The 27,331-nt window shown below is 39.0% G+C and overlaps 1 protein-coding gene and 1 long non-coding RNA gene across 8 annotated transcripts in view, besides 1 other annotated feature; one reads left to right on the top strand and one right to left on the bottom strand.

Annotated features, from left to right (window-relative positions):
* DNAH7 (dynein axonemal heavy chain 7) overlaps window positions 1-27,331 on the top strand; it is a 331,135-nt gene extending 303,804 nt beyond the window's left edge. For all 6 annotated transcript variants that reach the window (XM_011511488.4, XM_017004504.3, XM_011511490.4 and 3 more), the window contains 4 exons: window positions 8,749-8,901; window positions 10,520-10,697; window positions 24,165-24,268; window positions 26,907-27,331. In XM_011511488.4, the coding sequence (XP_011509790.1) occupies window positions 8,749-8,901; window positions 10,520-10,697; window positions 24,165-24,268; window positions 26,907-27,113 (642 nt within the window). In that variant the 3' untranslated portion in view covers window positions 27,114-27,331. The remainder of the gene's footprint in view (window positions 1-8,748; window positions 8,902-10,519; window positions 10,698-24,164; window positions 24,269-26,906) is intronic.
* Window positions 2,018-26,912, bottom strand: LOC107985972 (uncharacterized). 2 transcript variants are annotated; one of them, XR_001739837.2, is made up of 3 exons: window positions 25,201-26,912; window positions 24,087-24,201; window positions 2,018-6,934 (listed from the first exon to the last, which is right to left on the bottom strand). It is a non-coding gene; the product is annotated as an uncharacterized LOC107985972 (long non-coding RNA). The 2 variants fall into 2 exon arrangements; XR_007087797.1 differs by lacking the exon at window positions 2,018-6,934 and having other exon boundaries at window positions 21,192-24,201.
* Window positions 20,313-20,813: an enhancer, noted in NCBI's record as "H3K4me1 hESC enhancer chr2:196608945-196609445 (GRCh37/hg19 assembly coordinates)". NCBI's record gives its function as "activates a minimal SCP1, AML or CMV promoter by ChIP-STARR-seq in naive and primed H9 embryonic stem cells {active_cell/tissue: H9 hESC(naive and primed)}" and the evidence as "EXISTENCE:reporter gene assay evidence [ECO:0000049][PMID:30033119]".

Here is a 27,331-nt window from a genome sequence, read left to right as displayed (position 1 = left end):
TTTTTATGCCAGTACCATGCTGTTTTGTTGATTATAGCTCTGTAGTATAATTTGAAATCAGGTAATGTGATTCCTCCAGTTTTAATCATTTTGCTCAGGATAGCTTTGGCTATTCTGGGTCTTATGTGGTTCCATATAAGTTTTAGCGTTTTTTTTTTTCTATTTCTATAAAGAATGTCATAGGTATTTTGATGGGGGTTGCACTGAATCTATAGACTGCTTTTGGTAGGATGGACATTTTAACAATATTGATTCTTCCAATCCATTGACATGGAATATCTTTCCATTTTACTGTGTCTTCTTCAATTTCTTTCACCAGTGTTTTATAGTTTTTATCATAGAGGTCTTTTTACTTCTTTGGTTAAGTCCTAGGTATTTTATCTTTTTGTAGCTATTGTAAATGGGATTCTTGATTTCTTGATTTCCTTTTCAGATTGTTCACTCTTGGCATATAGAGATGCTACTAATTTTTGTACGTTGATTTTATATCCTGTAACTTTACTGAATTTATCAATTCCAACAGTATTTTTGGTGGAGTCTTTAGGTTTTTCCAAATATAAGATCATATCAACTGCACACAAGGATAAGTTAATTTCTTCCTTTCTAATTTGGATGTGCTTTATTTCTTTCTCTTGTCTGATTGCTCCAACTAGGACTTCCAGTACTTTGTTGATAACAGTTGTGAAAGTGGACATCCTTGTTATTTTCCACATCTAAGAGGAAAGACTATCAGCTTTTCTCCATGCAGTATGATACTAGCTGTGGGTCTGTCATATATGGCTTTTATTAAGTTGATGTATGTTCCTTCTATACCCAGTTTTTAAAGTTTTTTTTTTAATCATTAAGGGATGTTGAATTTTATCAAATGCTTTTTCAGTATCAATTGAAATTATTATACAGTTTTTGTCCTTCATTCTGTTGATATGATGTATCACACTGACTAATTTGTGTATGTTGAATCATTCTTGCATTCTTGGGATAAATCCCACTTGATCATGATGAATGTATTGTTGAATTCAGTTTGCTAGTATTTTGTTCAAGATTTTTGCATCAGGGATGCAAAAATCAGGGATATTGGCTTGTAGTTTTTTTTCTCTGTAGTTTTCTTTGTTTGATATGTCTTTGTCTGGTTTTGGTAAAAGTAATACAGGCCTCATGGAATAAGTTTGTAATTATTCCCTCCACCTCTCTTTTTCAGAATAGCTTAGTAGGATTGGTATTCTTCTTTAAATGTTTGGTAGAATTCAGTACTGAATTCTAAGCTATCAGGTCCTGGGCTTTTCTTTGCTGGGAGACCCTTTATTATGGTTTTGATCTTATTACTTGATATTGGTCTGTTTAGTTTTTGGATATCCTCATGGTCCAATCCCGGTAGGTTGTATGTTTCTAGGAATTTCTCCATTTCTTCTAGGTTTTCCAGTTTATTGGTATAATAAATTGCTAATAGTAGCCACTAATGATCCTTTGAATTTATGTGCCATCTATTGTAATGTTTCTTTTTTCATCTCTGATTTTATTTATTTGGGTCTTCTCTCTTTTATTTTCTTAGTTTGGCTGAAGGTTTGTTGATTTTGTTTATCTTTTCATAAAATCAACTTTTCATTTTGTTGATTATGTACTTTCTTCATTTAATTTTTCCTGCTCTGATTTTTATTATTTCTTTTCTTATATTAATTTTGGGTTTGGTTTGCTCTTGCTTTGCTAGTTCTTTAAGATATATCATTAGGTAGTTTATTTGAAGTTTTTCTGCTTTTTTGATGTAGGCACTTAAACTACAAACATAGTTTAGAAACACTTAAACTATAAACATCCACCTTACTACTGTTTTCACTGTATCCTGTAGGATTTTGCATGTTGCATTTCCATTATCATGTGTTTCAAGAAAATTTTGAATTTCCTTTTTAGTTTCTTCATTGATTCACTGGTCTTCAGGAGCATATTGTTTAATTTCCATGTATTTGTATAGTTTCCAAAATTCCTCTTGTTATTGATTTCTTGTTTTATTCCATGTAGTCAGAGAAGATACTTGATATTATTTCATTTTTTTGGATATTTTGAAACTTTTTTTGTGGCCTAACATGTGAACGATCCACGTGCTGAGTTAACCATGTATTCTGCAGCCACTGGATGAGACGTTCTGTAAGTATCTATTAGGACCATTTGGTCTGCGGTGCAGTTTAAGTCTGATGTTTCTTTGTTGATTTTCTGTCTGGATGGTCTGTCTGATGCTGAAAGTAGGGTGTTGAAGTCTCCAGCTACTATTTTTATTGGTGTCTGTGTCTCTCTTTGGCTGTAATAGTTGCTTTATATATCTTGGTTTTCCAGTGTTGGGTGCATATGTATTTAAAATTGTTATATCCTCTTGCTGAATTGACCACTTTATCATTATATAATGGCCTTCTTGGTCTCTTTTTGTAGTTTTTGTTTTGAAATCTATTTTGTCTGATATAAGTATAGCTACTCCTGCTCTTTTATGGTTTGTATTGGCATGGAATATCTTTATCCTTTTATTTTCAGTCTATATGTATCTTTATAGGTGAAGTGTGTTTCTTCTGGGCAACAGATCATTGAGTCTTGTTTTTTAAAAAAATTCATTCAGCCACTGTATGTGTTTTGATTGAAAAGTTTAGTCCATTTACATTCAACATTATTATTGATAAGTAAGTACTTACTCCCGCCATTTTGTTATTTTCTGGTTTTCTCCTCCTTTCCTTCCTCTCCTCTTAATGAAGGTGATTTTTCTCTGGTAGTATGTTTTAACTTCTTGCTTTTTACTTTTTGTGTATTTATTATATGTTTTTTGATTTGAGGTTACCATGAGGCTTGCAAATAATATCTTGTAACCCATTATTTTAAACTGATGACAATTTAAAACCGATTGCATAAACAAAGAAACAAGCAAAGAGAAACCTAATAAAAACTCTACACTTTACCTTCATCCCTCCTGCTTTTTAACTTTTTGTTTTTCCTATTTATATCCTATTATACTGTCTCTGTCTTGAAAAGTTGTTGTAGTTATTATTTTTTATTTGTTCATCTTTTAGTCTTTCTCCTCAAGATATGAGTAGTATACACAACACACTTATAGTGTTATAATATTCTGTTTTTCTGTGAACTTAGTATTACCCTGAGTTTTATACCTTCAGATAATTTCTTATTGCTCATTTACATCCTTTTCTTTCAGGTTGTAGAATACCCTTTAGTATTTCTTATAGAACAAGTCTGGTGTGGATGAAATCCCTCAGCTTTTGTTGTTTGGGAAAGTCTCTTTATTTCTCCTTTATATTTGAAGGATATTTTCACCAGATATACTATTCTAGGGTAAAAGTTTTGTTCCTTCAGCACTTTAAATATGCCATGCCACTTTCTCATGGCCTGTAAGGTTTCCAATGAAAAGTCTGCTGCCAGACATATTGGAACTCCATTGTGTGTTGTTTCTTTTATCTTACTGTTTTTAGGATCCTTTCTTTATTTTACTACCTTTGGGAGTTTGATTGTTAAATGCCTTGAGTCTTTTTTGGCTTAAATCTGCTTGGTGTTCTATAACCTTCTTGTACTTGAATATTGATATCATTCTCTAGGTTTAGGAAGTCCTTTGTTACTACTGCTTGAATAAACTTTCTTCCCATATATATCTCTCTCTACCTCTTCTTTAAGGCCAATAAGTGTTAGATTTGCCCTTTTAAGGCTATTTTCTAGATCTTGTAGGTGTGCTTTCTTGTTTTTTCTTTTATCTCATCTTACTGTGTATTTTCAAATAGCCTGTCTTCTAGCTAACTAGTTTCTTCTGCTTGATTAGTTCTGCTGTTAAGAGACTCTGATGCATTATTCAGCATATTAATTGCATTTTTTAGCTCCAGAATTTCTGCTTGATTCTTTTAAAAAAATCTCAATCTCTTTGTTGAATTTATCTCATAGGATTCTGGATTCCTTCTCGGTGTTATTTGGAATCTTTTTTTGCATTTCCTCAAAACACTTATTTGAATTCTCTGTCTGCAAGGTCACATATCTGTATCTCCAGGATTAGTCACTGGTGCCTTAGTTTATTTGGTAAGGTCATGTTTTATGAATGGTCTTATTTTTTATTTTATTTTTTGCTACCCAGACACTATTCAGTATCCTAGATGGTCTTGATGCTTGTGGATGTTTGTCAGTATGTGGGCACTGATAAGTTTTTACTGTAGTCTTTGCAGTCTGGGCTTGTTTGTACCCATGCTTCTTGGGAAGGCTTTCCAGATATTTGAAGGGACTTGGATGTTGTGATCTAAGTTTTTGGTCACTGCAGCTGTATCTGCTTTAGGGGGCACTTAGAAGCCCAGTAACACTGTAGCTCTTTCAGACTCATAGAGATACTGCCTTGGTGGTCTTGGATAAGGTTCAGAAGACTTCTCTAAATTACAAGGGAAAGAGTCTTGTTCTCTTCCCTTTGTTTCTCATAAACACATGGACTCTCTCTCTCTCTGCTGAGCTGCTTGAAGCTGGAGGAGGGGTGACAAAAACACCCATATGGCCACCAACATTGAGACTGTGCTGGGTCAGACCTGAAACCAGCACAGCACTGGGTCTCATCCAAGGCCTGTTGTACCCACTCCCTGGCTACTGTCTATGTTTGCTCAAGGCCCTGGGGCTCTACAGTCAGCAGGTGGCAAAGCCAACCAGGCTTATGTCCTTCCCTTCACAGCAGTCAGTTTCCCTGGGCCCTGGATGAGTCCAGAGATGCTGCCTGGGAGTCAGAGCCTACAGCCTGAAACCTTAAGAATTCACCTGGTGCTCTGTTCTACTGCTGCTGAGCTGGCACCCAAACTACAAGACAAAGCTATTCTCAAACACAGTTGTGTTATCTTCTTTCCCCTTTCCACAGGCAGAGGAGCCTCTCCCTGTAGCTGCCATCATCACAGGTTCACAGGGAGTACTGCCGGGCTACTGCTGATCTTACTCAAGGCCCAAGGGGTCTTTAGCCACCTTGTGGTGAATGTTGCCAAAGTTAGTCTGTGATTTAATAGCTAGCAAGTAGCCAAGTATTGATTAAGAAGATTTTTCTATTAAAATTTGGTTAGATCAGGTGCAGTGGATCACACCTATAATCCCAGCACTTTGGGAGGCTGAGACAGGAGGATTGCTTGAGGCCAGGAGTTGGGAGAGCAGCATGGTCAACATAGTGAGATACCATCTCTACAATTTTTTTTAAGGGTCTCACTTTGTCAACCAGGCTGGAGTGCAGCGGCACAATCTTGGCTCACTGCAGCCTCAACCTCCCAGGTTCAAGTAATCCTCTTGCCTCAGCCCCCCAAGCAGCTGGGACTAAAGACCTGCACCACCAACACCCAGCTAATTTTTTTATTTTTTGTAGAGACGGGGTTTCACCATGTTGCCCAGGCTAGTCTTGAACTCCTTTCCAGAAATGCCATCCAGGAGCCAAGGCCTGGAATTGGGGACCCTAGGAGACCTCTTGGTGCATACCCCACTGTAGCAGTCAAGCTGGTACCTAAGCTGCAAGTCAAAGCCCCCTTTACTCTTCCCTGTGCTTTCCTCAAAAAGGAATCTCTCCTGGTAGCCACCAAGGTGGAAACGTGCAGGGTCACACCTGAAGCCTGCATGGCACTGAGTCTCACTCAAGGCCCATGGTGTGTACTACCTGGCTACTGCTGCTTATTATTCAGGGCCAAGAGCTCCTTAGTCAGCAGGTGATGAATCCCACCAGGAGTGGGCACTTCCCTTCAAGAGTGCAGGTTCCTTTATGACCAAATATGTGTCTAGAAATATTGTCCAGGAGCCAGGGCTTAGAATGTGGACCCCAGGACTGTTCCCGGTGCCCCATCCTACTGTGGCTGAACTGGCCCCCAAGTTGCAAGACAAAGTCCTCTTTACTCTTCCCTCTCCTCTCCTCAAGCAGTAAGGAAGTAGTCTCTCCTGGAGCTGCAAGCTATGCTGCCTGGGATTGGGGGAGGGGTGGTGCAAGCACTCTATTAACCACCCTGGCAGGTGTCTCACTAGATGGCATGCCCCCCGCAAGCCACTAGCTCCAAGTCTAGCACAGGACTAGGCCTTGCCTAGGAATTGTCGTTCCTGTGGCCTAGACTGCCTTTCAAATTTATTTAGAACCCCAGAGCACTTTAGCTGGTGGTGGCAAGGCTTGCTGAAACTCCTGTTCCAACTGCTGGGATGTGTGCTTCCCCTGTAGTTAGGGTTGGTCTAAATGCTTCTTTCACAGGCATCAGCTGAGCTCTTCCTGGTGTTGCTGTCTTCTGTGACAGGAAAGCACTGAGTTCCAGTACAGTCTCAATCATTGTGCTCTCCCTCCTACAAGCGACAGATTCTCAGTGCCACACTGCCACTGCCGGGTGATGGAGGAGGGTTGGCATCAGCAATTCAAGACTGTCTTTCCTGCCCTCTTCAGTGCCTCTTTCAGTGATTAAAGTTAAAACTGGGTACTGTGGTCATTCACCTGATTTTTGGTTCTTATGAAGTTGCTTTTTTGTGTAGATAGTTGTTAAATTTGGTGTTCCTGCAGGGAGGACGATTTGTGGAGGCTTCTATTGGCCATCTTGCTCTGCCTCCCTTCTCAAACCTATGCCAATACATTTAAAATGTAAATACATTTTAAAATGTAAATGAAATAGACAAATTCTTGGGAAAACATATGTTACCAAACAGATACAAGAAGAAACAAAAAATCAGAATAATCTTTTTTGTGTTTAGAAGTTGAATGCATAAGTGAAAAACTTTACATGTTAGAAGCCTTTTCTGGTATCTGATAATTTGGGGTTGTCTACTTATGTTTAAGAATGCGGCATTATCATGTTGAATGAACACAATAAGAATACCGGTGATTGTTGACTGTGGTCTTCAATGTAGTGTTACCTGGCTAGGCTGTTTAAGAAACATTCAGCATGATTATGTATTTCTTCTTGACCTGCTTCTTCTTGTGTCCTTCCTGGAAGATAAAGGGCTGGCTCTAGTATTCTGGGAACTAAAAGGGAAAAGAAGCTCCAGGGAATCTCAGCATCCAGTATTCATGCATTCACTTAATCCCCCTGATTTCAGTATGGTAACTTTGGCCCTAACGGGGCCTGCCATTTCCCACTCTAGGGATTTCTGCATTTTCCTCTCCAGATTATATTCAAGGTAGGCAATGCATAGTTTTTGGGGCGGGGGAGGAAGATCTGTTTTTTAAACCAAGTTTTAATGATCTTTAACACTGCCCTCCTCGCCCCACTTTCAGAAGTATGTATGACATTCATTCCCAAGATTTAGGGGTATTGTGCAGTGTATGTCTGGTTGATTCTTAGCTTTTCCCCCTGCCAATTCAGGATCAGGTTTCTTCTGTATGCTAAATCTACTACCAGCAGTCCATATGCTTTCTAGCTCCCACAATTGTGTTGTCATTTTCCCTTCCCCTCTTTGTTTCTACACTTGGGGGCTTATGTCTTTAAAAAGTAAATTCCTTTACTGCTGTTTTAGCGGGGTTTTGAGAAGATGGCAAATGAAATGTGTGTATTTAGTACATCAAATTTACTCCCAAATCTTTTCCCTATGTTAGTTGGAATAATATTTTCAACTATAGAAAAGACAGAAATGAATAATAGCAACTGGCCCAGTTAAAAGTCAAATAAGCAGGAATTATCAGGGCCTTCAAAGTTTTAACATCCGTGCATCAGTCATTCAAAATGGGAAATGGTCAACTAGACTTCATAATTCAATTCCAGGACATTTTAACTTTTCAAAGCATTTTATGTAATTTTTCTAATTTTATATTTATCACCATCCTTTTCAGAATGCAGTATAGAACTGTATTACTTATTCACTTAATAGACAGTAAACTAAGTCAAAGTTAGTCTGTGATTTAATAGGTAGCGAGTAGCCAAGTATTGATTAAGATTTTTCTATTAAAACTTGGTTAGCTCAGGTGCAGGTGCAGTGGCTCATGCCTTTAATCCCAGCACTTCGGGAGGTCGAGACAGGAGGATTGCTTGAGGCCAGCAGTTTGAGACCGGCATGGGCAATATAGTAAGACCCCATCTCTACAACTTTTTTTTTTTTTTGAGACAGGGTCTCACTTTGTCACCCAGGCTGGAGTGCAGTGGCACAATCTTGGCTCACTGCAGCCTCGACCTCCCAGGTTCAAGTGATCCTCTTGCCTCATCCCCCCAAGTCACTGGGACTACAGGCGTGCACCACCACACCCAGCGAATTTTTGTATTTGTTGTGGAGGTGAGGTTTCGCCATGTGGCCCAGTCTAGTCTTGAACTCCTGAGCTCAAGTGATTCACCTGCCTCGGCCCCAAAGTCCTAGGATTACAGGCATGAGCCACCTTGCCTGGCTTCCTATACAAAAAAATTTTTAAAGTAAAAAATCAGTTGGGTGTGGTGATGCATGTCTGTAGTCCCAGTTTCTTGGGAGCCTGAGGTGGAAGGATTAATTGAGCCCAGAAGGTCGAGGTTGCAGTGAGCCATGATCCCACCACTGCACTCCAGCCTGGGCAATAGAGAAGGATCCCGTCTCAAAAAATAAAACAAAAAATGGTTAGATTAAAATTGTTAATATTTTTCTAAGGAATAATTCAAAGACTCCCTGGCCTACTTGTAAGGAAAAACAAATATCTTCACTTTTTTTTTTTCCTGTATGACTCAACCTTAACTAATCACAATGTAAACAAAGGATAATCATGAAGGAGGTATTTAAAAGGTGGTTGCTTATAATCTATCATAATCTATACTATTATATTAACCAAGGTTAAATGTGTTTCAGGGGCTTGCAGTCATGTCTACAGATCTTGAAGAAGTGGTTAGCAGCATTTTGAATGTCAAAATTCCAGAAATGTGGATGGGTAAATCCTACCCAAGCCTTAAACCACTTGGCAGCTATGTGAATGACTTCCTTGCAAGACTAAAATTCTTGCAGGTAAGTTCGTCTAAATGATCGTATATTGTTAAGTTTCTCCTGGTTTCATTTTCTTCGTCAGAATGCTTAATGTAATGAGTATTACTCTCTAGTTTTTCTGTGCATCCCAGGCACAAATCACCACTACTTAATATTTCATATAATGTATGTAACTGCTACACTGAACTGTCAAAAAGCTAGCACTAAATGAAGGCAGAAAACATCTAGCTATGTTGGTTTTTCCACTAGGTATTTAACATTAAAATAGATACCTACAGCAAAACATTTTCGAAAGCCAGTCAAGCTTCCAGTGAGGGGTATTATAGCTTCATTGCCCAGAACTTTTCTAGGTCATGGAATCACTAGATTGCTGGTTCAGCCCAAGTCAGTAATGACCTCAATGGCTAATTGTCTTGGAAATGTTGAGTGGGCAGAAGCCTATCTACTAATTGTCTGGTAATATTGGTGCTTAACTATGTTCTTATTAACAACTCTACCTATTAGAAATATTGATTAATTTCCTAGATTCTGTATATAATGTGTCAAAAGCTGCCTATGAAGAAATTTCTGCAGGGATAAAAATGGTTAAATTCCCTTTTCATAATTCAGGCCTTTTGTTATGCTACAGTCAATACTAAGGAACTAAGATTGTTTTTGAAGGATAAAGTTATACCTTGGGCTCTTTTAGGGAAAAGCTTTTCAAACTCATTTCTTCAGATTGGCTTCTCTAATTTACTATCTAGTTAAAGTTGGTATTCAACTGACTCACCATTAGAATCTATGTTATGAACAGAGAACTAAAGTATCTTGATATTTCTAAAGGCCTTAAGGTCTCACTACCCTGCTTCTTCCAGGAATTCCTTGTACAATATTGTGTTCCTATATGTTGAATTTTACTGTGTTTTAGTGAAGTAGGAAGAAAAACTTCCAAAGCAACATTCTATTGGGTACTAATGACTAATTAGAGAGAGAAGAAAAGTGAAAAACATAACCATCTGACCAGACTTTATGGGGATCTCTTCTTCTGTTCAACTATGTAACATGATATATTGTGTAGCAATGCGTATTAGATATTCACTATTGTAGGGAGCGTTTCTGAAAGAATCATGGGGCATGTATAAAACAGACATTTGTTTGCATTAATGCACATTGTAATTTCCAAGCTGATATGATAGGTATGAAATTGAAGTCAGGACAAATACCGAATATACCACCTGTTTTTAAAACCTTGAGAGTATGGCTTGTTACTCCTCAGGGGTTATTTGTTAGTTTATCTAAAAGACAACAAATGTCTTTGGATACATTTTATTAAGTAGTGTTGTATTCAAAAGTTGAAAGGCTCCCTAGGTGTGGTGGCTCATGCCTGTAATCCCAGCACTCTGGGAGGCTGAGGAAGGCATACTGCTTGAGTCTAGGAGTTCAAGACCAGCCTGGGCAAAATAGCAAAACCCCTTCTCAACTAAAAATACAAAAAAATTAGCCAGGCATGGTGGTATGTGCCTGTATTCCCAGCTACTTGGGAGGCTGAGGTGAGAGGATCACCTGAGCCCTGCCTGGGCAACCAGAGATCCTGTCTCAAAAAAAAAGAAAAAAAGGTTGAAAGGTGCTACTGTTAGCCCACTTGTGTTTTACACCCTAGCAATGGTATGAGGTTGGTCCTCCTCCAGTCTTCTGGCTTTCTGGCTTCTTCTTCACACAAGCCTTCCTGACCGGTGCCCAGCAGAACTACGCCAGGAAATACACAATTCCTATTGATCTTCTTGGGTTTGACTATGAAGTGATGGAAGACAAAGAATACAAGCATCCTCCTGAGGATGGTAAGTGCAGGGACAGAATGAGTCGGCTCATATCTGGGCACTGAACAAAAACATGACATTCTAGCATACTTTCCTCAGCTGTTAAAAAAGTAATAAACATGAATGTAATTTACCTTAAATGCCAGAGAAAAAAATTATTGAGATACAGAGAGCAAATGAGTGAGCCAGGTGGAAAGAGAGAGAAAGAGAAGGGGTGAGGGGGAATGATCAAGCAAATAGGGGAAGAAAATGATAACAGTAGATGAATCTGGATAAAGAATATATGTCCTTTGTACTTTTTGCAAAATTTTGTAAGTTAGAAGTTATTCCTAAAATGTTAAGAAGGTAATCATCAAATTAACAGCATATAGGATAATCAGCCATAATCTTATGTTGGCTGTGGGGACTTGACATGTACAGCATTGAAAAGAAGGTTTTTCCTGGTCCCTTGAAGCATATACCTTCATAGAATCCTAAGATATGTATTCTTTCCTGTCATTCCAAAACCTATAGCTTAACATTCCAAAACTTATAGCTAATAGAAACATTTGCTCTGTGGTTGAAAGATTGTGAGGAAATCTTTATTTTCTTGATGATTGTCTACACTTTATGGCTACCCTGATATTTTATTTCAAATTTAGTGGACAAGGCCACGATTTTAAATAAGAGTTATTTTTTAAATGCTACAGATTCCAGAATTTTATCAAAATTGTCTTTATATAAATGACATTAATCTCTAAGTGCCTGTTAATGTGTACTGCTTTAACTAGTGTGTTGAAGACAACTTCCTTATTCATCACTGAATGATGAATTCACTGGCTCACTCTTCTATCAGGCACTGGAGATATCAACAGGGAACAATTTAGGATCTTGTCCCTCAACTAATTTATACTGTGGTGGGAGACACTAACAAGTAGATATGTAATCACAACAGTGTATGATAATCGCATTACTGTGCCAAGAAGTTTTATTTTAAATTGATGGTCACAAATCTCAAGATGGTTTGTAACACTATGAAGCAATCCCACTACTATTCCCGGGGATATTTGCTTTCCTCCTCTCAAAACAACCACTTATGCCCTCTTTGCCCTTCCTTCTGCTCCCACATCTCACCTTATCCTTCATGAAAAAAAAAAGCCATCTGAAGAGAGCTTTTAGCACCACCGACTCAATACATTTGTCAACATCTGCACCCTTGAGGCATCCAGATCCCATTTTCTTTTTCCTTCTCAAGGGCTTTGCTCCTTTAATTGTGCCCTCTCTTTCAGGAATAAATTATTTCTCTCTTACTAGTAGATACTTCTTGTCAGCCTACAACATGCTCTAGAATCTCTCATCTTAAATCAGCCATTTCAATTGTCTTTCTACAATCCCCCTCAGCTGCTGTCCTGTATCTCCGCTCACCAGTATAGCAAAATTCCTCAAAAGAATTGTCTTTACATGCTGTCTGCAGGTTCTCACTTCCTATTAGTTATCTACCTTTCATCCCCTCTAATCAACTGATGCTGTTCTTTTCAGAGTTAGTGATGACTTCTATGTTGACAAATCCCATGAATTCTCTTCTGTCTTCATCTTAACCTCTTAGTGATTTTTACCAGTTGCCATCTTCATATTTGTAGAGACATGCTTCTCTCTTTGTTTCCAGTACATCTCCCTCTCCTGATTTTCCTTATCTCATTGGCCATATTCATGCTGGTTGGCTGGTTTAGGTTCCCCTAATATTAGAGTTTCCAAGGACTGAGTCCTGGGACTATTTCTCTTTTCTGATAGCATCCTACTCCAAGTGACCGACCTTATTCTTTTTTATCTTTAAACATTAACTCTTTGCTTATGTCCTCCAAATGCAAATCTCTGAATCTTCAATCTAGATCTTTCCTCTAAGATCAGACCTCCATATCCAATTGCCAACCTGAAATCTACACTTTGGTATCTCCTGAATATGTAAAATGAGTCATTTCAATAAATGGCACCACCATCCAGACAGAAACCCAGGAACTCTTCGTTCTTCTGCTCCCTCATCTGTTCATATCAAGGGCTGTTGCTCACCTACAGTCCTACTGCCACCACAATTTTTTTTTTTTTTTTTTGAGATAGGGTCTCACATTGTGACCCCACCTACAGTGTAGTGGCATGATCTCGACTTACTGCAGCCTTGACCTCCTGGGCCCAAGTGATCCTCCCACTCAGCCTCCTGAGTAGCTGAGACCAGAGGCGTGCGCCACCTTGCCCAGCTAATTTTTTCATTTTTTTGTATAGACAGGGTCTCCCTGTGTTGTCCAGGCTGGTCTCAGTCTCCTGAGCTCAAGGAATCCACTCACCTTGGGCTCCCAAAGTGCTGGGATTACAGGCGTGAGCCACTGCACCTGGCCCCACCACCATTGTTATCTTGCCTTCTCCTCTAGCCTTTATCCTGTCTCCCTACTGTCATTACCCACTTATTGCCCTTAATTTGTATAGAAGCCACAGAACTTTTTTAAAAAATGAAGATAGATAATATCAGCCTTTGGTCTCCATTGAAAACCCAGGCAACTAAATAAGTTTTTTCCCTTTGTGGTTTGAATAAAATCCAGACCCCTTATGGTGACAATGAGGCCAGGCGTGTTCTAGCCGCCGCCCACCTGTACAAGCTCATCATGTGCCACTATGCTCAGGTCACGCTAACCTCCTGACAGTTTCTAGAACGGCTCATGTTCTTTTCTCTTTGGGATCTTGGGAACACCACTTCCATCTGTTGGAGCCGCCCATTTCACCTTATTATCCTCTCTTGCGACTCTGCTTATTAACTTCAAAGCATCAGTCAGACTGTAATTATTTTATGTATTTCTTTCTTTATTATCGCTCTCCCTCACTACAGTACAGATACCAGAAGAGTGGTGATCTTGTTTGTCTGCACCATTCTTTCTTGAGTGCCTCTCAGTGTCTAGCACATAAAGGGCCCTCAAATGCTGCTGGGGGAAATTTCAAAAATTATGCTACCGGAATCCACTAAAAATGTATGGACTCGAACCCAACCTGTTAAAGATACCTCTTATTCCAGTCTCTAATACTTAAACAGTTTTATTGCAGAAACACATTTAAGAACAACAGATATAAGGAATAAAGAATCATTGGGACATATGATATCTTAGAAATATTATTTTTCAGCCACAGATGCCTAACATACCATTATTCTGACCATTTGTTCAAAATCCCTTTATTCTTAACATACTCAAAAGAAGCTTTATCCCACTAGAGGCTTTTAAAATAAATAAATAAAACAAATACAGAAGGAAATTTAACAACCTTCTGCTAAGTTATTTAGTTTATTGTTTCCTTAATAATATAAGCTTTAACAAAATTTTTTCCCATACAGCTCACTATATTACATGTCATAAAAGACACTAATAAATATGAGTTTGAGCCCCTGCCCTCATAAAATTAAAAGTATAGTTAGATAAATTTAGCACCATACTGGAAGGATAAATAATTTGGCTCAAATTAAGTATTTGGCAATGGAGGAAAGGAATGTCTAAATTGGGTAAAAGCAAATCAAAGAAACAGCATGGATACCTATGGTGGGGCTGCTCTGTACCACTGCTGGGCTGCCCAGTCCATTACACTGAATCCTCACAATACCCCTATGGCTCAGATACTACTATTATCACCATTAGACAAGGTGGAAACTAAGGCTCAGGGGGGTTAAGTAACTTGCTGAAGGTCTCACAGCTAATGAACAGAGGTGAGATTCAGACCCAGGCCATCTGGCTCTCATGCTTAGCTGCTTTCTCTATGGCCTACTGAGTATTTTGGTAGAAGTTTGAAAACATCACATTTCTCAACGAAAGTTTTCTTAAAGGAGTTATGGTTAATTCTTAAGTATTTAATTCAGATGCATGAATTTTTTTCTAGTTCTTTTTGTATTATTATAATACGCAGAGGGTCACATTTGGGTTGAAGTTTGAGCAGCACTGATGATGTCTTTCAGGGTTATATGTTTTTGAACTCAGCTAAAAGACTGAATTTATAAGCATTGCCAAAAGCTTCTGAACTACCTAATACCCAAGATCAAACTATTGTGTTGCCCATTATTATATACTGAACATAATTATTGTACAGGGTAGTTGATATTTATTTTTACGTTGATTTACTAATTTAATCCACAGAAGCTCTTATAAAAGAAGGTGAAGTATTAAAAATCCAAAATCATCTTGAAAACAGTGGAGTAAAAATAAAGCACAACTTATTAAAGGATCCATAAAGCCTATTTAGTGTTCCAAGATCATGCACTGAAGAGTAGTCATCAGCTAATTAAACTGTTTTACTGACTACCACAGTGTTGGTCCAGGCTTAATTTATTTATTTATTTTATTTCTTTATTTTATTTTATTTTATTATTATTATACTTTAAGTTTTAGAGTACATGTGCACAATGTGCAGGTTAGTTACATATGTATACATGTGCCATGCTGGTGTGCTGCACCCATTAACTCCTCATTTAGCATTAGGTATATCTCCTAAAGCTATCCCTCCCCCCTCCCCCTTCCCCACAACAGTCCCCAGAGTGTGATGTTCCCCTTCCTGTGTCCATGTGTCCTCATTGTTCAATTCCCACCTATGAGTGAGAATACGCGGTGTTTGGTTTCTTGTTCTTGCGATAGTTTACTGAGAATGATGATTTCCAATTTCATCCATGTCCCTACAAAGGACATGAACTCATCATTTTTTATGGCTGCATAGTATTCCATGGTGTATATGTGCCACATTTTCTTAATCCAGTCTATCATTGTTGGACATTTGGGTTGGTTCCAAGTCTTTGCTATTGTGAATAGTGCTGCAATAAACATATGTGTGCATGTGTCTTAATAGCAGCATGATTTATAGTCCTTTGGGTATATACCCAGTAATGGGATGGGTGGGTCAAATGGTATTTCTAGTTCTAGAACCCTGAGGAATCGCCACACTGACTTCCACAATGGTTGAACTAGTTTACAGTCCCACCAACAGTGTAAAAGTGTTCCTATTTCTCCACATCCTCTCCAGCACCTGTTGTTTCCTGACTTTTTAATGATTGCCATTCTAACTGGTGTGAGATGGTATCTCATTGTGGTTTTGATTTGCATTTCTCTGACGGCCAGTGATGGTGAGCATTTTTTCATGTGGTTTTTGGCTGCATAAATGTCTTCTTTTGAGAAGTGTTTTTTCATGTCCTTCACGCACTTTTTGATGGGGTTGTTTTTTTCTTGTAAATTTGTTTGAGTTCATTGTAGATTCTGGATATTAGCCCTTTGTCAGATGAGTAGGTTGCGAAAATTTTCTCCCATTTTGTAGGTTGCTTGTTCACTCTGATGGTAGTTTCTTTTGCTGTGCAGAAGCTCTTTAGTTTAATTAGATCCCATTTGTCAATTTTGGCTTTGTTGCCATTGCTTTTGGTGTTTTAGACATGAAGTCCTTGCCCATGCCTATGTCCTGAATGGTAATGCCTTGGTTTTCTTCTAGGGTTTTTATGGTTTTAGGTCTAACGTTTAAGTCTTTAATCCATCTTGAATTAATTTTTGTATAAGGTGTAAGGAAGGGATCCAGTTTCAGCTTTCTGCATATGGCTAGCCAGTTTTCCCAGCACCATTTATTAAATAGGGAATCCTTTCCCCATTGCTTGTTTTTCTCAGGTTTGTCAAAGATCAGATAGTTGTAGATAAGCGGCGTTATTTCTGAGGGCTCTGTTCTGTTCCATTGGTCTCTATCTCTGTTTTGGTACCAGTACCATGCTGTTTCGGTTACTGTAGCCTTGTAGTATAGTTTGAAGTCAGGTAGTGTGATGCCTCCAGCTTTGTTCTTTTGGCTTAGGATTGACTTCGCGATGTGGGCTCTTTTTTGGTTCCATATGAACTTTAAAGTAGTTTTTTCCAATTCTGTGAAGAAAGTCATTGGTAGCTTGATGGGGATAGCATTGAATCTGTAAATTACCTTGGGCAGTACAGCCATTTTCACGATATTGATTCTTCCTACCCATGAGCATGGAATGTTCTTCCATTTGTTTATATCCTCTTTTATTTCATTGAGCAGTGGTTTGTAGTTCTCCTTGAAGAGGTCCTTCACGTCCCTTGTAAGCTGGATTCCTAGGTATTTTATTCTCTTTGAATAAGTTGTGAATGGGAGTTCACTCATGATTTGGCTCTCTGTTTGTCTGTTATTGGTGTATAAGAATGCTTGTGATTTTTGCACATTGATTTTGTATCCTGAGACATTGCTGAAGTTGCTTATCAGCTTAAGGAGATTTTGGGCTGAGACAATGGGGTTTTCTAGATATACAATCATGTCATCTGCAAACAGGGACAATTTCACTTCCTCTTATCCTAATTGAATACCCTTTATTTCCTTCTCCTGCCTGATTGCCCTGGCCAGAACTTCCAACACTATGTTGAATACGAGTGGTGAGAGAGGGCATCCCTGTCTTGTGCCAGTTTTCAAAGGGAATCTTCCAGTTTTTGCCCATTCAGTATGATATTGGCTGTGGGTTTGTCATAGATAGCTCTTATTATTTTGAGATATGTCCCATCGATACCTAATTTATTGAGAGTTTTTAGCATGAAGGGTTGTTGAATTTTGTCAAAGGCCTTTTCTGCATCTATTGAGATAATCATGTGGTTTTTGTCTTTGGTTCTGTTTATATGCTGGATTACATTTATTGATTTGCATATATGGAACCAGCCTTGCATCCCAGGGATGAAGCCCACTTGATCATGGTGGATAAGCTTTTTGATGTGCTGCTGGATTTGGTTTGCCAGTATTTTATTGAGGATTTTTGCATCAATGTTCAAGGATATTGGTCTAAAATTCTCTTTTTTGGTTGTGTCTCTGCCTGGCTTTGGTATCAGGATGATGCTGGCCTCATAAAATGAGTTAGGGAGGATTCCCTCTTTCTCTATTGATTGGAATAGTTTCAGAAGGAATGGTACCAGTTCCTCCTTGTGCCTCTGGTAGAATTAGGCTGTGAATCCGTCTGGTCCTGGACTCTTTTTGGTTGGTAAGCTATTGATTATTGCCACAATTTTAGAGCCTATTCAGAGATTCAACTTCTTCCTGGTTTAGTCTTGGGAGGATATATGTGTTGTGGAATTTATCCATTTCTTCTAGATTTTCTAGTTTATTTGCGTAGAGGTGTTTGTAGTATTCTCTGATGGTAGTTTGTATTTCTGTGGGATCGGTGGTGATATCCCCTTTATCATTTTTTATTGCGTCTATTTGATTCTTCTCTCTTTTCTTCTTTATTAGTCTTGCTAGCGGTCTATCAATTTTGTTGATGCTTTCAAAAAAACCAGCTCCTGGATTCATTAATTTTTTGAAGGGTTTTTTTGTGTCTCTATTTCCTTCAGTTCTGCTCTGATTTTAGTTATTTCTTGCCTTCTGCTAGCTTTTGAATGTGTTTGCTCTTGCTTTTCTAGTTCTTTTAATTGTGATGTTAGGGTGTCAATTTTGGATCTTTCCTACTTTCTCTTGTGGGCATTTAGTGCTATAAATTTCCCTCTACACACTGCTTTGAATGTGTCCCAGAGATTCTGGTATGTTGTGTCTTTGTTCTTGTTGGTTTCAAAGAACATCTTTATTTCTGCCTTCATTTCGTTATGTACCCAGTAGTCATTCAGGAGCAGGTTGTTGAGTTTCCATGTAGTTGAGTGGTTTTGAGTGAGTTTCTTAATCCTGAGTTCTAGTTTGATTGCACTGTGGTCTGAAAGACAGTTTGTTATAATTTCTATTCTTTTACATTTGCTGAGGACAGCTTTACTTCCAACTATGTGGTCAATTTTGGAATAGGTGTGTTACGGTGCTGAAAAAAATGTATATTCTGTTGATTTGGGGTGGAGAGTTCTGTAGATGTCTATTAGGTCCGCTTGGTGCAGAGCTGAGTTCAATTCCTGGATATCCTTGTTAACTTTCTGTCTCGTTGATCTCTAATATTGACAATGGGGTGTTAAAGTCTCTCATTATTATTGTGTGGGAGTCTAAGTCTCTTTGTAGGTCACTCAGGACTTGCTTTATGAATCTGAGTGCTCCTGTATTGGGTGCATATATATTTAGGATAGTTAGCTCTTCTTGTTGAATTGATCCCTTTACCATTATGTAATGGCCTTCTTTGTCTCTTTTGATCTTTGTTGGTTTAAAGTCTGTTTTATCAGAGACTAGGATTGCAACCCCTGCCTTTTTTTGTTTTCCATTTGCTTGGTAGATCTTCCTCCATCCTTTTATCTTGAGCCTATGTGTCTCTGCACGTGAGATGGATTTCCTGAATACAGCACACTGATGGGTCTTGACTCTTTATCCAATTTGCCAGTCTGTGTCTTTTAATTGGAGCATTTAGTCCATTTACATTTAAAGTTAATATTGTTATGTGTGAATTTGATTGTGTCATTATGATGTTAACTGGTTATTTTGCTCGTTAGTTGATGCAGTTTCTTCCTAGCCTTGATGGTCTTTACAATTTGGCATGATTTTGCAGTGGCTGGTACCGGTTGTTCTTTCCATGTTTAGTGCTTCCTTCAGGAGCTCTTTTAGGGCAGGCCTGGTGGTGACAACATCTCTCAGCATTTGCTTGTCGGTAAAGTATTTTATTTCTCCTTCACTTATGAAGCTTAGTTTGGCTGGATATGAAATTCTGGGTTGAAAATTCTTTAAGAATGTTGAATATTGGCCCCCACTCTCTTCTGGCTTGTAGAGTTTCTGCCCAGAGATCTGCTGTTAGTCTGATGGGCTTCCCTTTGTGGGTAACCCGACCTTTGTCTCTGGCTGCCCTTAAGATTTTTTCCTTCATTTCCACTTTGGTGAATCTGACAATTATGTGTCTTGGAGTTGCTCTTCTCGAGGAGTATCTTTGTGGCGTTCTCTGTATTTCCTGAATCTGAATGTTGGCCTGCCTTGCTAGATTGGGGAAGTTCTCCTGGATAACATCCTGCAGAGTGTTTTCCAACTTGGTTCCATTCTCCTCGTCACTTTCAGGTACACCAATGAGACGTAGATTTGGTCTTTTCACATAATCCCATATTTCTTGGAGGCTTTGTTCATTTCTTTTTATTCTTTTTTCTCTAAACTTCCCTTCTCGCTTCATTTCATTCATTTCATCTTCCATCACTGATACCCTTTCTTCCAGTTGATCGCATCGGCTCCTGAGGCTTCTGCATTCTTCACGTAGTTCTTGAGCCTTGGCTTTCAGCTCCATCAGCTCCTTTAAGCACTTCTCTCTATTGGTTATTCTAGTTACACATTCGTCTAAATTTTTATCAAAGTTTTTAACTTCTTTGCCTTTGGTTTGAATTTCCTCCTGTAGCTCAGTGTAGTTTGATCGTCTGAAGCCTTCTTCTCTCAGCTCGTCAAAGTCATTCTCCGTCCAGCTCTGTTCCGTTGCTGGTGAGGAACTGCATTCCTTTGGAGGAGGAGAGGCGCTCTGCTTTTTAAAGTTTCCAGTTTTTCTGCTCTGTTTTTTCCCCATCTTTGTGGTTTTATCTACTTTTGATCTTTGATGATGGTGATGTACAGATGGGTTTTTGGTGTGGATGTCCTTTCTGTTTGTTAGTTTTCCTTCTAACAGACAGGACCCTCAGCTGCAGGTCTGTTGGAGTTTGCTAGAGGTCCACTCCGGACCCTGTTTGCCTGGGTAACAGCAGCGGTGGCTGCAGAACAGCGGATTTTCGTGAACCGTGAATGCTGCTGTCTGATTGTTCCTCTGGAAGTTTTGTCTCAGAGGAGTACCCGGCCGTGTGAGGTGTCAGTCTGCCCCTACTGGGGGATGCCTCCCAGTTAGGCTGCTCGGGGGTGAGGGGTCAGGGACCCACTTGAGGAGGCAGTCTGCCCGTTCTCATATCTCCGGATGCATGCTGGGAGAACCACTGCTCTCCTCAAAGCTGTCAGACAGGGACATTTAAGTCTGCAGAGGTTACTGCTGTCTTTTTGTTTGTTTGTCTGTGCCCTGCCCCCAGAGGTAGGCAGGCCTCCTTGAGCTGTGGTGGGCTCCACCCAGTTCAAGCTTCCTGGCTGCTTTGTTTACCTAGGCAAGCCTGGGCAATGGCGGGCGCCCCTCCCCCAGCCTCACTGCCGCCTTGCAGTTTGATCTCAGACTGCTGTGCTAGCAATCAGCGAGACTCCGTGGGCGTAGGCCCCTCCGAGCCAGGTGTGGGATATAATCTCCTGGTGCGCCGTTTTTTAAGCCCGTCAGAAAAGGGCAGTATTAGGGTGGGAGTGACCCGATTTTCCAGGTGGTGTCTGTCACCCCTTTCTTTGACTAGGAAAGGGAACTCCCTGACCCCTTGCGCTTCCCGAGTGAGGCAATGCCTTGCCCTGCTTCGGGTGGCGCATGGTGCGCTGCACCCACTGTCCTGCACCCACTGTCTGGCACTCCCTAGTGAGATGAGCCCGGTACCTCAGATGGAAATGCAGAAATCACCTGTCTTCTGTGTCATTCATGCTGGGAGCTGTAGACTGGAGCTGTTCCTATTTGGCCATCTTGAAAGGTGTCCGGTGCAGGCTTAATTTATAATAGCTGATACATTTCTGCAAAATCTTGAACTTTATTTACTTACCAATGCACAATATACGTTTCACCAATAAGCACATATATCCACAAATTAGCCTTTTTGTCATCCTAGCTTTTTCCTTCCTACTTAGCTAATTATCAGAAAGAAATAGAGAATCCATGGAATGATTTAGATAAATGGGTTTTTCCCCAAGGAATCACTTTCTCATAGGACCCTAGTGGGAGGGACATAGATCCCACCTGAGAACAGCTTGGGATAGAAGCCAAGTTTCTTTTTTTCCAATCTCTACCCCTTTACCATACTTTAGACATATTTTTGTTATGTTCCTGTTTCTAGGGTCTGGGCCTCATAACACTGTCATCCTTATATAGCTAAGATTAAATTAAAATACAATGAAAAGGGGCACCTAAAGGCTACAGTGCTGCTGAACGTTTTTTAGTATTTGAAATCTGTATTAGGGTTCTCTAGAGGGACAGAACTAATAGGATATATGTATATATGAGAGGGAGTTTATTAAGGAGAATTGACTCACACAATCACAAGGTAAAGTCCCACGATAAGCCGTCTGCAAGTTAAGGAGCAAGGAAGCCAGTAGTGGATCAGTCCCAGTCCCAAAACCTCAAAAGTACGGAAGCAGACAGCGCAGCCTTCAGTCTGTGGCCGCAGGCCCAAGAGCCCCTGGCAAACCACTAGAGTAAGTCCGAAAGTCCAAAAGCCAAAGAACTTGGAGGCTGATGTTTAAGGGTGGGAAGCATCCAGCATGGGAGAAAGATGAAGGCCAGAAGGCTTAGCAAGTCTGCTCTTTCCAACTTCTGCCTGCTTTATTCTAGCTGAACTGGAAGCTGATTAGATGGTGTCCACCCACACTGAGGGTGGGTCTGCCTCTCCCAATCCAATTGACTCAAATGTTAATCTCCTTTGGCAACACCCTCTTAGACACACCCAGGAATAATATTTTGCATACTTCAACCCAATCAAGTTGACAATATTAATCGTCACAGCATCCTATATTGTAGATGCAATTACCTAAGATTCCTCTTATCTGAATTGCTAGGTACTACTAGGTGACTCAGTCACCAGTTGACAGCACTGCACAGCATGAAGGGAGGCAGAGAATAGTGTAAAAGAGAGGAACTAGAAAAACCATAGCTGACACTATGTGCTGATGACATCTCACAGATGGCAAAGGGCATCACTCATAGAGCAGGACAGCTGTTAAAAAGGACCTGTTAACATCTACCTGTCATTTTCTATATATTCTATGTATCTATATCCTCATGGTCCTTACTAGCCATGAGAAATAAGAATGTATTTAAAGATTCTCATTATATCTCCTATACAATTGATGGGTTGGAAAGAACGTTTATCCCTATCACCACTTTTCTAGGTGTTGAAATGAACTCTTTTGTTTACTTTCTATTATATTATCACTCTTCCCAAATGAGGAATAACTAATCTGATTGGTTAGAGGCAGAAATTTGTTGGGCAATGTTTTCGAGTCAGTGAGGCAGGGTATTAAATAGCTCACTTGGACCTGTGTGTAGGTTCTCTTTCTTTTCCATTGTATTCCATACTATAAAGTTCTCTTACTTTGCCCTATCCCCACCTGTTTTGGTGACTGATGGACAGGCCTTAGAGCTGGCCACAGAGGTAAAGACGCAGAATGTGCTCTGCAGACCCATCTCTCCCCTCACGCAAGTCCACCCCTCCACTGCCCTGGAATCAAGGTCCATTTTGCAATCCAGCTTTACCAGAGTTATACACTGGCAGTTATTGGACAAGTGCTTTGTCAATTAATAAAACTGATACTATATTCCGACGTATTCTTCCCATCAGCTAAAACCCAGAGAAGAGAAAGGGTAAGTCTTTCCCTCAACTCTATCATTAAATTATCCACATGTGGCCATTTAAATTTAACTATAATTAAAATAAAATTTAAAATTCAGTTATTTGGTCACACCAGCCACATTTCAAGTGTTCAGCTTACTAATACCAGCCTCTTATAGCTAGCGGCTACCATACAGGACAACACATAGAACATTTCCATCACTGCAAAATGTTCTACTGGACAGCACTGCTCAAGTAGATTTTCATATGCTACTCTACAAAGGCATTTCCCCCTATGTTAGCTGATTTGATTCTAACAACTCTACAAGGTGGACAAAACAGATATTACTATTTTACAAATGTTTTTAAGGTTGTTCTCCAGATGACAAAACAGGTTTTGAAGTTAAATTAATTGCTCAAGGTCACACAACAAATTAGGAACTAAAACTTTGGTCTTCCCAAAGTCTACATTGCTTGACATCTGTACTGTTACAATCAGTTTTACCTGCAGACTCCAATCCATGAGGCTTTACTGATATGTAAAGCCAAAGAAAGTAACTCATGTTTCACTGATTGCCTAAATTGTACTCTTTAGCTGTTAGTGTACAACATGACATTCTAGAGAGAGTTCATCATGTGTCTTTCATCATCAACAGACTAAGGAGAGCTCTTGGCAGTAAGAATAAATTCTAAAAGGGGAGGAGCAATTTAACTCTTACGACATTAGAGATCTGCAGAAGGGTACTTTGTTCATATGCTGCCCACTAGCCACCACTGGATCCCTATTACATTAAGAACTATTTTTTTCCCTAGATTTCACAGCTTCTGAAAACACAGTATAATCATTGACCAATTAACAATATAAATTTGATAATGTTCACACACACACACTGAGAACTTCCCATAGACCTGTTTAAAATTTCTTTCCTCTCGTCTTCCACACCTAATTTTACTATTGTCTTATTTCACTAGGCAAAGTTTCAATGTTCTTGAAATATGGATGTTAAAACACTCAGGAGATTGCTTTCATTGGAGAACAAATCTTAGGCTGCAAATCTAGTATCACCTGCATAGTACTTACATGTAGAAATTTCAGATTCAGAACTCAATCAAAATGCATATTTCAAGTGTTATATTAATGTGTTTCTTTTATATTTAGGTGTTTTCATTCACGGATTATTTCTGGATGGAGCTTCCTGGAATAGAAAGATCAAGAAACTTGCAGAATCGCATCCCAAAATTCTTTATGATACAGTGCCTGTGGTTAGTAAATTCTAATTATATATACATGTGGAATTATTTTATACATATTTTATATATTATATATAAAATAGACCCCATATTGTGTGTATATATGTGTATACATATGTGTGTGTGTATATGTATATATATATATATATATATATATATATACACACACACACACACACACACACACACACATATACAGTCAATTCTTGTTATTCATGGTAATTATGTTCTATAAAGTTGCTTCCAACATTGAATTAGCAAATACTGAACCATTGCTCCTGGGGAAATAAATACAGGGTTCTTTCTTTGGTCACAACATTTTTGTTAGCTGATCAGTAAATAACCTTTATTTTGTGTCTGTTTAAAGACACCTTATTTAATACACAATGTTGAGTCATTAACATTAACTCATGGTCAAAATGCTATGAGCTTCGTTGAGGCATGAGCTAATATTTTCTCTATGAGGCGCATCAGCCTTCTTGCACTTAGCACTGGCTGGGCGCAGTGGCTCACACCTGTAATCTCAGCACTTTGGGAGGCCAAGGCAGACGGATCACCTGAGGTCGGGAGTTTGAGACCAGCCTGACCAACATGGAGAAACCCCAGTCTCTACTGAAAATACAAAAATTAGCCGGGTGTGTTGGCAGGTGCCTGTAATCCCAGCTACTAGGGAGGCTGAGGCAGGAGAATCGCTTGAACCTGGGAGGTGGAGGTTGCGGTGAGCTTAGATCGCACCATTGCACTCCAGCCTGGGCAACAAGAGTGAAACTCCATCTCCAAAACAAAACAAAACAAAAAAACAGCACTGTGTTACACATGGGGGTCATTTTAAACAGTGAAATCGCCAACAAAAACACAAAAATGTGAAAAACCTGGTACTAAATAGGCCACGAAAAGGACACTTGTTTACGGTTATGAGGTGAAACAAGAAAGCAGAGCCTCACCTGGTTCAACCCGAGCTGGGAACGTGTGTTGGATGATGCAAATCTTTGATGCTCTGCAAATGTCCACCAAGGAGCGTGACAATGCTGCCAATTGATTTTAGGATTAGAAATAAACTTTGGTGAGTAGGCAAATTTGGAAATGTGGAATCCACAAATAGTGAGGTCCACTGTATATACATACACACACACGTGTTCATTATATTTTTCTTATACTTTGACTTGAAAATGTGAAATTTGCAGATTAAAGATTACAAAAACCATCAATTTAAAAAGCCACATTTCCTAGGCACCTATCCAGTATTGGCAGATTAAGCTTTGTAAAATATAATTAAGATTCAATCTATAACTGCATCATGAGAAAATGGCTTAAGAAAATAGCAATTTGAAGGGTAGATCTGGGATGCTGTGATAAAATATAGGCAGTGGGATTTATGTGAATTTTCTTTGCAGGATTCTGGCAGCAGCTCAAAGACAGGTTAAAAACCCCTTCAGAGCAACTGTAACAGGATCAGTGAGGGGTCAACTGACAGCCAATTGCGAGAAAGCTGTCATACATTTTAAAATACCATGGGCACAAAAGTTTAAAATACAAGACCCAAATTGAAAGTTTCAAGGACAAATAAATGCAATTTCAGGAGCTGATCGAAATTTAGTCTTTCTTTCACATGGAAACTCTTAAGTAGCTTGCAGTGTGTACAAGAAGAAATTAATTTATAAATGGATAATGATTCTCCTGAATAAGCAGCTAGTTAGAAATAAAAATTCTCATTAGAAAAATCCCCTGGGGTTGAAATGAAATCTGAGTTAGGAAGAGTGCTTCGAGTTTTACATTGTAGTTAGTATTTGCAAAACTGCCTTGTGGATCCCCCTTATGAAAATCTGGATTCCACAGTTAAGTGGGAGAAATAGAGAAACTGGCATCCTTATAAGCTCCTTCAACAATCTGTGTTTTGACCTGAGAAACCTAAAAGAGGGGTCTGAACATTGGGGCTGTCAAGTCCTATCATCTCGAGGATTGCTATTACTTCCACTCCAGAAAAATAAATTGAATTAAATTCTAAAATATCTTTATGAACATAGTTTGTTCTTACTCTTACATTCAAAGATCAAACTGCCTCAAAATCTTATTTTTAAGATTGATGAGGTCTAATAACAAATTGTAGGAATTTAATGACTAAAAAGAATGGGGTATAGATTGTGGTTATAAAGGAATGCAATTATATTTTAAACAGCATAATATATATAGTATCTATCTCCTTTATAATAGTCTCCTAAAATGGGAAGGTTCTCTAGCTATACAGCTGTTGATAAAAATCCCTTCAGAATTTTTTGGGACTGGCTTTCAATTAATATAAAGGCACATGATTCTCAGTATCAGTGTGGCAATTCTCTCCTTTGAAAGTGTATCTGATTTTTTTTTTATCATTGTAAGCACTAAAAGTCATTTCCCAGGTAATTGTGGCTGAGTGAGAGATAAATAGGTAGAAAATATGCTTTTAGAAAGAGAAGGCGAAAACTATTTTTTTCAGTTATGAGAGTTCTATAAAATGTTTTGAGCAATCACAACAACACTGCTGGTGAAAATAAATTTGGGCCACAGAAATCTGCATGCATAACCTTACTCTGAGAATACTATAGTAGGCTCAAACACATGTACATTTAACAAACAGCCTTGACTTAAAGAGGTGTTATGTACTTTCTTCCAGATGTGGCTAAAGCCCTGTAAGAGGGCAGATATACCAAAACGGCCAAGTTATGTTGCTCCATTGTATAAGACAAGTGAGCGGAGAGGAGTATTATCCACCACTGGCCATTCCACGAATTTTGTGATTGCCATGACTCTTCCCTCTGACCAACCCAAGGAACACTGGATTGGACGAGGTGTAGCACTGTTATGTCAACTTAATTCATAACCAGAAGACATCATTTCCTTGTTCCTATTTCTTGTTGGCTGGCTGAGTAGAGAAAGCATATTTTACTACTTAAACCTTTTTTTTTGTTTGTTTAAATACATTTGACTAAAGTTATAATTATGAATTTACTTATGAGCAAATGCAGCTAAACTTAATATGACTCATACTTAAATGTAAGGAAATGTTCTGAAATAAAGACTAAAGAAAACACACTGGCA

The sequence above is a fragment of the Homo sapiens genome, chromosome 2, assembly GCF_000001405.40.
Source record: "Homo sapiens chromosome 2, GRCh38.p14 Primary Assembly".
NCBI classification, from domain to species: domain Eukaryota; kingdom Metazoa; phylum Chordata; class Mammalia; order Primates; family Hominidae; genus Homo; species Homo sapiens.
The sequence above is the reverse complement of the archived record's forward strand: the minus strand, read 5'-3'. Positions and strand labels throughout refer to the sequence as shown.